We start from the raw sequence: 12,629 nt of genomic DNA, 5'->3' as shown, positions 1-12,629 counted from the left end.
CATTCCTATTTCTCCATCTCCTCTCCAGCACTTGTTGTTTCCTGACTTTTTAATGATCGCCATTCTAACTGGTGTGAGATGGTATCTCATTGTGGTTTTGATTTGCATTTCTCTGATGGCCAGTGATGAACATTTTTTCATGTGTCTTTTGGCTGCATAAATGTCTTCTTTTGAGAAGTGTCTGTTCATATCCTTTACCCACTTTTTGATGGGGTTGTTTTTTTCTTGTAAATTTGTTTGAGTTCTTTGTAGATTCTGGATATTAGCCCTTTGTCAGATGAGTAGATTGCAAAAATTTTCTCCCATTCTGTAGGTTGCCTGTTCACTCTGATGGTGGTTTCTTTTGCTGTGCAGAAGCTCTTTAGTTTAATTAGATCCCATTTGTCAATTTTGGCTTTTGTTGCCCTTGCTTTTGGTGTTTTAGACATGAAGTCCTTGCCCATGCCTATGTCCTGAATGGTATTGCCTAGGTTTTCTTCTAGGGTTTTTATGGTTTTAGGTCTAACATTTAAATCTTTAATCCATCTTGAATTAATTTTAGTATAAGATGTAAGGAAGGGATCCAGTTTCAGCTTTCTACATATGGCTAGCCAGTTTTCCCAGCACCATTTATTAAATAAGGAATCTCCCCCATTTCTTGTTTTTGTCAGGTTTGTCAAAGATCAGATAGTTGTAGATATGTGGCATTATTTCTGAGGGCTCTGTTCTGTTCCATTGGTCTATATCTCTGACAAACAGCATTTTTCTTCTCTGAGTTGATGGCAGGCCTTCTGTACTTTCCTCCTGCGACATTAAAGTACTTATTAAAATCCAAAAAGTTGTGCAAAGAGGATGTCAACAAGACTAAAAAGTAGGACTATGTATGAATGGTTGCCAGACCTAAGGAGGAATATTCACATGCCTATAAAGAAATGGAGGTGAGAGACTGCACCTGCTATCACGGCTCTACCTCCTGCAGGGTCTCAGGGCCTTCATGGGACAAAGGAGGTACCAATGCATCCTAACTGACTGTTGCATTTTGAGATATTCTGAACAGTTAGTTATGTCACACCCAGAGAGACATACCCTTCCAAACATCTCCAAATTTTAATGAGACTGCAGGTCCTGGGAATGCATCCAGCCTGGCGCAGAAATGAAAAGTGGTGTGAGTTGTATAGGGAGGGGTGAAGTTGGGAAAACAAATGGTCTGGGAAGGAAAACATCTTGGAAGCCACCTATTCTGAAGGTTGTAATGTTCATGTATTGCATTAGAAAGGGAATAACAACACATTGAACCAAAATATTTAAGAATATCGGCATTTTCAGGTCATCAGGCCCCAGGGTAGAGGCGAAGAATGTTCTCAATGAAGCATAGCCATAACAGATCAAGTGACTGCTGGATGCTGGATGTGAGTGTGGAGCAGGAGACATGGACATCAGTTCATCCTTGTCTTTAGATCAGAGAGGGGACATTCCTTATACCTAGTAGACAGTAAAACAACAACAGCAATAACAAAATCTAGCCTAGTTTACTGACACAATCACTGCTACCTGGGACAGAACCATGACGGTCAATAATGAGCACCAACCAAGTAAAACACCAGGTACATAAATTTCAAAACATAAAAGATGACACAGGGTATATTGCTAGGACTGCCTTAACAAAGTACCACAAACTGAGTGGCTTAAATAACAGACATATTTATTGCCTTGTAGTTGGATGTAGTCCAGAAACATCCAGGGCTTCAGGAGGTGTTAGAAGTCTGAGATTGAGGTGTCAGCAGGGCCATGTGCCCTTGGAAGGATCTAGAGAAGGGCCATTTCTGGAAGTTCCTTGGCTTGTGGCAGCCATCTTCAACTGACATTCTCCGTGTTTGTGTGTCTGTGTTCCAATTTCCCCTTTTTATAAGGACACTGGTCATACTGGATTAGGGATCCCTCTGATTCCAATGTGATCTCATCTTAACTAACTGTATCTGCAGCTCTGTCTCCAAAAAAGGTCACATTGTGAGTTACATTAGGACAGTAGGATTTCAACACATGAATTGGGTGGGAGGGGGGCATAGTTCAACACATAGCACAGAAATAAAGCATATTAAAGTAAAACATTTTATCACCAGCAGGAAAACTTTACAAAGCATCTGTTTTGTGTTCTCAATATAAGATATGACAATATGAATTTCATAACATAAAATTTAAAAGTGAAGTGAGAACGTAACAGACTAAAATGGAAAGGAATATCTGGTTAAGATGCAGGCCAATATGAAGTGAGAGGTGGGGAAAATGCAGCGGATTTGCAAGGAAACTAGAAGTTGCAAACGTTGGATTAAAACCCACTTTAGATAAAGTACAGAATCAACACTGTAGAAATCTGAATGATAATAAAAAGTTCTAGACACCTTTTTAGATTATTGTGGAAATATAGAGATGAAATAATGAAATAGATATAGATGAATGGAAAGATAAATATAGAATATTGGCTCATAGACATTAAAGAATTAGATATCAGTGGAAGATGGTAAGTAGATAGGTAAGAGATAGATAGATAGATGGGTCAATAGGGAAGGTAGATAGATACAAAATAGAGAATATATAAAGCAATGTGAAAGAGAAGTTAATAGAAATACAGGAAAGTGGGGGAGATGTGGAAGAGGTAGAGATGGATGGATACTGAAAATACAAATTTTCCATGTTTCCAGTTCAAGAAGGGAAAATGATTATTATTTGAACAGAGGATGATGTAGTCACCAGAACCAGTTCTAAGCCCTCCCTGACCAACCTTGGATGGTACTATCTGAGCACATGTGCTATAAAGATCAACCAATGAATGACAGTCTCATAGTTCTGAAATCCAGGCAGCAACAGTCACACTTCTCCAACACTGCTTTTGTGGCTAATGGAAATTCTGGTTTCTGAAATTCTTAAACTCAAAAGTGTTTCTCAAAACACTCCATGAAACCATTTTCAAAAATGGCATAAGAAAATAGAAGTGAATATCTCGTGAACAGATTAGGAAAGACTTTTCTAAGCATAAGTTAATAGAAAAAAATCACCCAAAAGCTATTAGATAATAAAAATCAAAGACATTTGAGTGTCACAAATACTATAAACATTACTAGGCAAATGAACTAGAAAAATTATTTGCTTCAAATATAACAGATAGATTGTGGTTAGCAATCATCCTTATGTAAAGAATTCCTACCAATTCACAAGAAAGGCATGGAAATTCCAGGAGCAAAATAGGTACAAGCTATGAAGACAAGTCACAGGAGAAACTCAAATAGCAGTAAGCAAACGGGAAAACATGTTTCTCAAGCAAATCCCAAGTAAATCAAAATCAAAATCAAATCACATTAAAGAATGCAAATTTAGGTCGGGCGCGGTGGCTCACGCCTGTAATCCCAGCACTTTGGGAGGCCGAGGCGGGCGGATCACAAGGTCAGGAGATTGAGACCATCCTGGCTAACACGGTGAAACCCCGTTTCTACTAAAAAATATAAAAACATTAGCCGGGCGTCGCGGCGGGCGCCTGTAGTCCCAGCTACTCGGGAGGCTGAGGCAGGAGAATGGCGTGAGCCCGGGAGGCGGAGCTTGCAGTGAGCCGAGATCGCGCTACTGCACTACAGCCTGGGGGACAGAGCGAGACTCCGTCTCAAAAAAAAAAAAAAAAAAAAAAAGAATGCAAATTTAAACCATAATGGCATTTTGTACATCAAACTAGCAAAGATCCATCCTGGTTAAGCCATTGTTAGCAAGGGTGTGCCCACGTAGACTTGCTCTGTCATTGCTAAGGGAGGTGGAAATTGAAATGATTTTTCTGAAACGTAAATGGTCTTGCATAGTAAAAATCTTATAAAAAAGTTGATACTCTTCACTCAGAGTTCCCCTACTAGGTATCTATTCCTTGGAAGTATAATAACAAGAAGCTAAAACCAAGCTGTCAGCATAGATATTTATTACTGAGATGTTTATAATTATGCAACAACCATACACACAATGACATAAATTCTGGTACATCCTCTTGCTGGAATATTTTGCAGTCATTTTAATGGAGTGAGTAAGAAATTTGTAGTCACATGCAAAATCAAAAGCAGGAGTAGAGTTGGATAAGCTTTATGATTCAACTTTTATTAAAATGTGTATAGAAAAATACAATTGAAAATACATCCTTTTTTCAGGGATTATCCTGAAATAATTTGGTCATGACTATTATTTTCTACATTCTGAATATTTTATCCCATTGGCTGTTTCTAAAGTCCTTATTTATTCAGAAGACTTCTAGCCCTTGCAGATCATGTTCTTTGCTTTCCTTTCATCTTTTCCTTAAAATTATACTTTTTCCTGTATAACAGAACCATACCTACCATAAGCACACCAGGAATACTGCATTTTAGCTATACTTCAGGCATTTCAGCTTCCTAGTGGGCTACATGGCTTTTCCAGAGCTCGCTCTCTCTCTTTTTTTTTTTTTTTTTGTAGCAAGGGCTCAATGACCCACAGGTCTATATTCATGCCCCATCTCAGAGCTGGTGTGGGAACTCAGATGGTGCGTCTTTGCTGATTGCATTTATGTAGCCCTTAAAACACTTGCCACGTGGCTTCACCAAGAAAGGTTTTCCCAAGTCCCATTTTATAATTGTTCCTATCCTGGGAGCTGGCCCTTCCTCTTGGCCATCATGGGTTTGGGCAATTATAGGTGCTTCATTACTTGTCATGAAACAAGAAGACCTCCAGGCAAAGTATATCATTTTTATAATCACACACACAAAAACCGCAGATAACATTACAAACAAAAGTTATAGTGACAAGAGAAAACTGTCATAATAAAATGATAGGAAAAGAAAAGAACCTAAAAGTTATATCAATAATGGGAGCTTAGCTGTAAAATTTTTTTTAGACTGGAAGTATACCTAAGAAAATTTTACTGGTGTTTCCTTTGGATTGTGGGAGTATAGGTTTTTGTTTTCTTCTTCATAGTTTCCTGTATGTCTCAAGTTTTCTATCATGAGTCAGAAAAAGAAAGTCTATTATTTGCAGAATTGGGCGGACTGGGTGGGGCAGGGTGACAACAGCAAAGAGAATTACAGAGTAAAGTTGATCCTGGAGAAAAAAATCCCCTAAATGAAGACTGATTTATATATGACATACTCTGGAGGCCAAGCCCACCCACACCCTCTATCAATCAACAACTGTGCCCTGAAGTAAGTATTATCAGTCCCACTTTACAAACGTGAAAAACTAAGACTTAGGTAGATCATGCAAATTTCCTGCAGCCACACATCTGGTACGAGGCAGGGTGAAACATTGCTATTATCTATTCTTTGTAGATCTCCTGGGGGAGGTAAAGAGACCACCACTGGGCGTACTAAGTTGATCGAGAAACAACGTGCTGGAGCACTTTCAGAAAATTTCCCAGGGGCTCAATTCAGAAGCAGCATTCCTGGGGATCATAGAGACTTACATTTTTCCTGCCCTGGTAAATGAATGGAACCTACCTACCATGCATGACAAAACCTTCTCAACATTTTTGTTCTTTTTTGGCCACATGCAATCATACATTTATTTGGGGTATTTTTTCCTTGTCCTCAAAGTTGTCATACATTCTCATTCCTCCTGCGACTCTTTCTTCTTTCTCTACAGGCCAGGGTGCTGAGAGAGGAGTAGAATGATCTGGGAGGAGTGATGTCATGTGACTTGGTTGATATTTATACCATCTACATCATTCCCCAAAACCATGCTCACCGAGGTCCTGTTTTCTGGACAGACAGAGAGCTTGCCTGACAGCCCCATTGTGGGTCCTGTCCCAGTGCCCCTGGGTGGGACTGCTGGATAGCACATTCCACAAACCCCTGCATCTTTTATTCTCCTGGAGAATTTACCTCATTGGTACTCAAAGGAATATGATAGGAAATCTTGTGTCATGGGAAGCTTAGGAATGCTATTTCATTTGGCTTTGGAGTTCATCGTTGTACTGTGAATGAGCTGCTTCTCTGGGGTGATGGCTTTCGTCTCCTTTTGCATTTCCTACTTCACATAGGTGGCATAGGATGCCATAAGCCTGTCTACACTTGCAAGGTTCTACTTTATGTGATTCATGCTAAGGTGTTCCCTTTGCCTGAAATTTGAGGATTCCATTCAGTTTGTGCTTGAATTACCTAGGAATTTGCTTCATTTCTTCAGTGTGCATCTCAGAAGAACCACACAGTTTGATATTTGGGGAAAAGTGCAGATATTTTCATTAATAATGTAACTAAGTTGACTGCTTTGTTCAAAGGGGGCAACCAAAACATGGAAAAGCCTTGCCTGAGTGAAGCTGGCTCATGAACAAGTCCTGGGAATGCTATTGGACTAGTGCCACGACAGACCGAATGTAGTTTAGAAACTGAATTGGGACACATATGGTTAATACCTCTTCGAATAAAGTATGCATTTATGCAACTATAAAAATGCAGGCTTTATGCAGAATGCCAGGTAACTACCTTCTAATTTAATATGGACTTTTCCCCGGGAAATCCAAAGTATTGGAGATTTATCATAAGCTGAAAATTACTAAAGAGAGAGCCATGCCTCTTCATGTACAACTCTTTCTGCTCATGTTTGCTTTGACATCAGGAAGAAGGAATTGTGGGTTTGAAATATGACCACCTGCATCTGTGTCTTTCTAAGGTACCAGGCACAGTTTCTTTTGTGTTATCTCATTCATTCTCACAACAACCCTGTGCAGCAGAAGGTATTTTCTCTGTTCTATCGATGAGGAAATCCATGCTCAGAAACTTTAATTGGACTCGGCGATGTTTCACAGTACAAGGTGGCAGAGGTTGGATTGGAACTCAGGACTGAAGATCCAAAAAACCATGACCTTTCTAATTGCTACCCTGCCTTTTGAGTTTTATGAATGCGGTTAAGGGAATTCTAGTTTCAGTATCTCATAAAACACCATCCAGGGCTAATTTTTCACTTCTGAAGAAAGTGAGAGAACAGATGGGAGCCGTCATGCCACCAGCCCTTACAAATGCCCCTTCTTGACTGCCCAACCCTGGTTTCATCCTCTATGTGACTTACAGCATGTCAATGGCATGCAGTGCTGGAGACAGCCTTAATATGGATGCTGGAAGTACTTTTTGATTTTGTAAAGCAGGCTTAAGGAAATACACCCATGCAGTGTGTGCATGCACACACACACACGTGTACATACATACCACACACATGCATGTGCACATACACATGCACACACACATGCTGCTCATATGTAATTTCTACTTCCTGTTAGGTCTTTACCAGGACTCTTGAACTACTCCTAGAGGGGTAGACATGGCTTAGTTATCAGTAAGTTCTGCAGTGTTGAGGGGAAGGGGAAGTTGGGTATGACGCAAGTGCAGGGGGGAGAATGGGAAAATTGTGTCTGACGATGGTTTACTTTTTGTAGCAGCTGAGAAAGTCACTGATGTTGCTGCCTCCTGTTGTTAAGTTAGAGCCCTCTCAAAATAGATCTTTTGATTTCTATTGCCTTTCAGGGTCCCCATACCTTGATTGGTGCTCAGTAGCCTGAAGACTTGTGTTTGAACAATGGATTCCTTAGTTGAGGGTTGGGAAAAACCTTAACAGCTATGGAGGCCAGCCCCTACCCACACCTTAATTTCAAGCCCCCTCTGAAAGTCCATACCAGATGGTAGAGCAGCCTAGGCTTGCAAATGTCCTGTAACTGGTCCTCACTACCTCCTGAGTCAACCAACATCATCTTTGACAGCTTCCTGTTTCAAAAATGTTTTCTTCATATTGAGTTGAAATGTGCCTCATTGCTTAACTTCCAACCAGGCATATATATTCTTTGGGCTGCAGTTTCTTGCCTTATAAAATGAGTCGGCTGGCCTCAGGACTGACCTATCCAGATGCACACGTTGTGCACTGCACAGCTCCAGGGGGCACCATTCATCTAGACTTTGAGGAGTCTGGCCTCTGGCTAGAATTGTGCAATGCCACGGCCCTGGTTTGCCACAATGACCTTTGTGTTTCTTTGTGACTCTCAAATTTGATGTCGGCCTCCAGATGGGGATATACGCTGCAAAGTAGTTCAGTTAGCACTAACAAGCTTTCAACGTCCTTGTTTGAGAAGAGCTGCCTGTTGTCACTAGAGCAGGCCACCCCTTGTTATTCACACCTTGTGGAGCTTAATTTCATTCAAGCGCCTACATGCAAATTAGATTTTTACCCTGAAGGCAAGGCGTCATCTGTTGTTTGGCCAACAACAGATGCTAAATGAAGAGGAAAGGAGAATGTGTACTTTTCTTTGAGAATCTATTATATTTCAGACTGTAATTATGTTTTTTTAAGAATTTTTTAAGTATCAGTTTTTAAGTATTAATAAAAATGTCATCTGAGTTATTTTTTCAGAATTGAAGGACATTGAAGGAGAATGATATTGGCAGATGTTTCCTTTCTGACCAATTATTAATTTTATAATAAAATACTATTATTTCCTAAGTCACTAATATATAGTTTGCATCATCTGCTCAAAGGGTAAGACTTGGGCAAACAAAATCAGGCACATATCCAGAAGATGTTCAACTTAATTTCTCATACCTCTTAAAACAACCTATCTGTATTACGTGACCATTATAAGTTCTTATCTTTTTTGTGAAAGGAAATTTGTTAGAAACTGAATTGGGACACATATGGTTAACACCTCTTTGAATAAAGTATGCATTTATGTAACTATAAAAATGTAGCCTGTATGCAAAATGCTATATAATTACCTTCTAATTTAATATTGACTTTCCCCCGGGAAATCCAAAGTATTGAAGGTTTATCATAAGCTGAAAATTATAGATTCCTGAGGAAGGTGATTGTTGCTAGAAATAGAATAATTTGGCCTTACGGTGGTTGGCATGAACAGTGCATCCTCTGCCCAGTTGGGTTTTTGGCGAAGTGGCAGTTTAAATTAAGCACTTGGGCACTGTGATGATGGACAGGCCCAGATGAAAAGATAGCTCTGGTTTTATGCTCAAGGCTTCATGTTTCCCACAAGATGAGGTATTTATTAACTAAGAGTCGCACCCACTTCACTTTTATTATTAAATGTTTGTAGAGCCTTCCTGAAAAGAATAATGCGGGTAGAATTTATACTGGGAAGGTTTCAACATCCCATAAAACTGACACTCTAGCACTTTGTAGAAAAGATGGGCCTGGGGAATGCAAGGAGGGAGAGGAAACTCTCCAAGATATAGATCTTGCTTAAAAGGGAGTTTCACCTCTGATAATTTAGGAGGTCAGAGGGCAGGTCTAAGTTCTCAGCCTCTGGATGTAAGAAGTGACCAGGAACAATAATGGGCAAAAGTGTGTGTGTGTGTGTGTGTGTGTGTGTGTGTGTGTGTGTGTGTGTGTGATACATTTAAAACACATTTACTCTCCCTTGTTTTCAAACACTTAAAAACATATTTTACTTTGCTGGCAAGAACAGATAGGGGATTTAAAGGCTTGGTAGTTTCTATGAATAGCAATGCTGAAATGTTAAAACAAAAGAATTCAAGGTGTTTCCCGTAACCCCCCTCTCCCCAGGGGCATCTTGGGTTAATAAATTAATCAAAACCAAGTGTGGGCTGCAGTGAAACTATATAAGGGTGGTATCTCCTTGGATCCAGCTGTACATACCGGTGTCAAAACAGCAAAAGCATCCAAAAATGATCTCAAGCTAGGATGAAGCCTTGATCCATCATTTTTCACCAAAACTAGTGAAACAAGTGAATAATGATTTGGGGACACTCTGGAACAAGAGTTATTAAGGACTGACACAGGCACATGTTACTCTAAGAGATAAAAATGAATGAAGCAGTTGCTCATCTTCAGGATGCCTCCTCCCTCCACCCTATACGCAGAGACTATTATCCTTCTCCCCAATACACCACATACTCTTTTTGTTTTTCCCTTGGAGACCCAATGACAAGCCACAGGATATCTATTAGCATACATTAAAATAAGAACCATCGCTTGCAATCTCTACTTTGGTTGGGACCAGTCCAACATCCTAGCAAAAATCTGCCAAGTTTCTCTCTCCTGGAATTCAGACATTTAATCAATGACACTTGCTTTGCCAAGGTTGTAAAAATAAAACAACTCTCAAAGTGCTAAACCTCCATTTCGTTCTGCAAATGCTTCAGTTAATGATGGAAACATACAGAACCAGAGGCTAATAGAGTAGAAAAGAATTGCACGTGTGTGTGTGGGCACATAGCAAATGTTAGCATGGCAAAACATGAAAAATAGGCACAACGAAAAAGATGTTAACACAGAGTCCCAGCTAAATTTACATAAATTTACATTCCTGATTATTTCAAAAGTGTTATCTTATATAAAACTTCTGATTCCAAATTACAAAAAGTAGCTGTTTCTTTTTGTTTATTTTATTTATTAATTATTTAATTTTGAGACAGGGTCTCACTCTGGGGCCCAGGCTGGAGTGCAGTGGTGTGATCTTGGCTCACTGCAGCCTTGACCTTCTGGGCTTAAATGATCCTTTCTCTTCAGCTTCCAGAGTGGCTGGGACTACAAGCGTGTACCACCACACCTGGCTAATTGTTTTTATAGAGAGGGGGTTTCGTCATGTTGCCCAGGCTGGTCTCGAACCCCTACGCTCAAGCGATCCACCCGCCTTGGCCTCCTGAAGTGCTGGGATTACAGGAGTCAGTCACCACATCCAGCCAAGAGTAGCTGTTTTTTCTATATGTTGAACTTACACTAATTAAAATATGTTGATATATGACATATGTATGTACCTTATGAAGTCTTTTTTATGTGGCCATCGTACTGTTTTGTATCCCAGCATAAACATGTTATTTAACATAAAGGCATAGCACATAGTGACACACAAGATGTGCTCCCAGAAATGAAAAACACTATAGTTTCTAACATTCAAAAGCCAGCTATCATCATAATTTGCTCTTGATGGACAGAAATAACAATTTGCCTATATTTCGTGCTCAATGTGCACGAGTGCAGAGGGACTTAGCTTATGGGACATCGAATCATAACAGACTGGGCAGACTTCTCGTCATGATCTTTCAGCATGTGGGATAGGCTGTTTGTTCCTTTTATTAGGAATACAGCTTTATTAAAACAGAGAAAGGGAGATGTAACCCCGGGATACACAGGCTGTGTCAGTTTCAAAGTAGGTTCTGCAGCTCCCTAGGTATAGGAACCATCCATGGCAAGCCAGACATCCGGAAGGGTTGAGCCCTTGGTGCTACAGTCTCCCGGGGCTTGAGCAGGATTGCTGGTTAACTGGCTCTGCGGTGCACAGCACCTGTGGGGCTTGTGGGTCCCTCAGCCCCAGGTTCCAGCCTCCGGAGCCAGGGATGCAGCTGGACACAGTAATGCACTTCTAGCTCTCACTGATTGAGATTAAATAAAAGCAGGAGGTGGGGATGCATTATTCATGATTTTCTTTGTAATGGAATCCAGAGCACTTTTGAAGGCTCTATACTTTGATACTTGCTCCTGGCAAAAAAAAAAAAAAAAGAAAAAAAAATTAAGTTAGGGAGAAGAGGAGGAATAGATGTTGTTAGATATGTACTGCTTGCCTGGCTTACTGCAAGAATTCTTTCTGTCTGAGACCACCAGACAGTGGCTTGCCTCCAAAGAAGCCTTGTTGTGGCTTATAAAAGGTATGGAGACCTGTTTTAAAAATCAGGAGAATTTTTCCAGGTACAGAAAGGTACAAATTTTAACTCTAATATAAAGGATAGGCTTCTTTTTGACGTCTACTGATAAAAATAAGTAAATAAATTTTTCAGTTTATTATACACTTCAGAGGAACACTTAGGGCAGTTCCTTCACAAGAGAAGAGAGAACTGAAATGCATAGTCCCTGAGCTTTTTCTCCAAATTTACACACACTTCGCTTCAGCAGAAGCCAGCTGCAGATCCCACCCAGGTTCCTACGCTTCTAGCACTGACATACTCTGTACAGCGGTGTCACTTGCAAATTAGTCTTAGATTGACACCTTAAATGTGCAATGTCATCCCATTTCTCTTTGGAAGGAGACTTTCCAAGATACTAAACCACTCTTTTGTACCAAAGCTCCCACGAAATCATACAAAGAGCTGGAAGCTATATCCCGTTTGCACAAAGGTTTTGCAATATCTCCATGGAGGAACTTTATGGATTCGTGGGAGTAAAATAAAAGGAATGGAGGATGTGTGGGAAGTTTGTGTTGGAAGACATTTGTCTAGCCCAGTAGTGATTAAAATATTATAAATTGTGTTTTGTCTGGGTGGCTCCTTTGGTTTCCGATGTTATTCCTGTTTAATGTTGGCGGCTGAGGGTGGAGGTGGGAGGCAGGGAAGTTTCTAAGATTATGGCCCCATATCTGAGAGTATAGCCCACTCCTCCTCTCTCACCAAGGGACACATGCTTTGGGTTTAGCCCCAGACTGTTTAGGAAAGGAACTCTCAGGAGCTGCTTTTTGGAACTTCAGGTTTTTGGCATTGACAATCATAGCATGTTCCATGTGTTATGGGGATGAACAGATGTGGGTTCAGATTCACCGGTTAAATGCATGTCAACCACGATGCAGAGAAGACGCTTGTTGCTGGTTTATGTGCTGTGCCCCAAGAGCTGAACAGCTCACACATTCCCTCCAAACAGGCCCTGGAGGA

At 40.4% G+C, this 12,629-nt stretch overlaps 1 long non-coding RNA gene across 1 annotated transcript in view, besides 2 other annotated features; it reads left to right on the top strand.

The window, feature by feature from the left end:
* Positions 1-12,629, top strand: part of LOC100506403 (uncharacterized) — a 208,258-nt gene that overhangs the window by 64,245 nt on the left and 131,384 nt on the right. The window lies entirely within an intron of this gene.
* Positions 7,812-8,332: an enhancer, noted in NCBI's record as "NANOG hESC enhancer chr21:36880486-36881006 (GRCh37/hg19 assembly coordinates)". NCBI's record gives its function as "activates a minimal SCP1, AML or CMV promoter by ChIP-STARR-seq in naive and primed H9 embryonic stem cells {active_cell/tissue: H9 hESC(naive and primed)}" and the evidence as "EXISTENCE:reporter gene assay evidence [ECO:0000049][PMID:30033119]".
* Positions 9,576-10,165: an enhancer, noted in NCBI's record as "OCT4-NANOG hESC enhancer chr21:36878653-36879242 (GRCh37/hg19 assembly coordinates)". NCBI's record gives its function as "activates a minimal SCP1, AML or CMV promoter by ChIP-STARR-seq in primed H9 embryonic stem cells {active_cell/tissue: H9 hESC(primed)}" and the evidence as "EXISTENCE:reporter gene assay evidence [ECO:0000049][PMID:30033119]".

This window comes from Homo sapiens, chromosome 21, assembly GCF_000001405.40.
Source record: "Homo sapiens chromosome 21, GRCh38.p14 Primary Assembly".
NCBI classification, from domain to species: domain Eukaryota; kingdom Metazoa; phylum Chordata; class Mammalia; order Primates; family Hominidae; genus Homo; species Homo sapiens.
The sequence above is the reverse complement of the archived record's forward strand: the minus strand, read 5'-3'. Positions and strand labels throughout refer to the sequence as shown.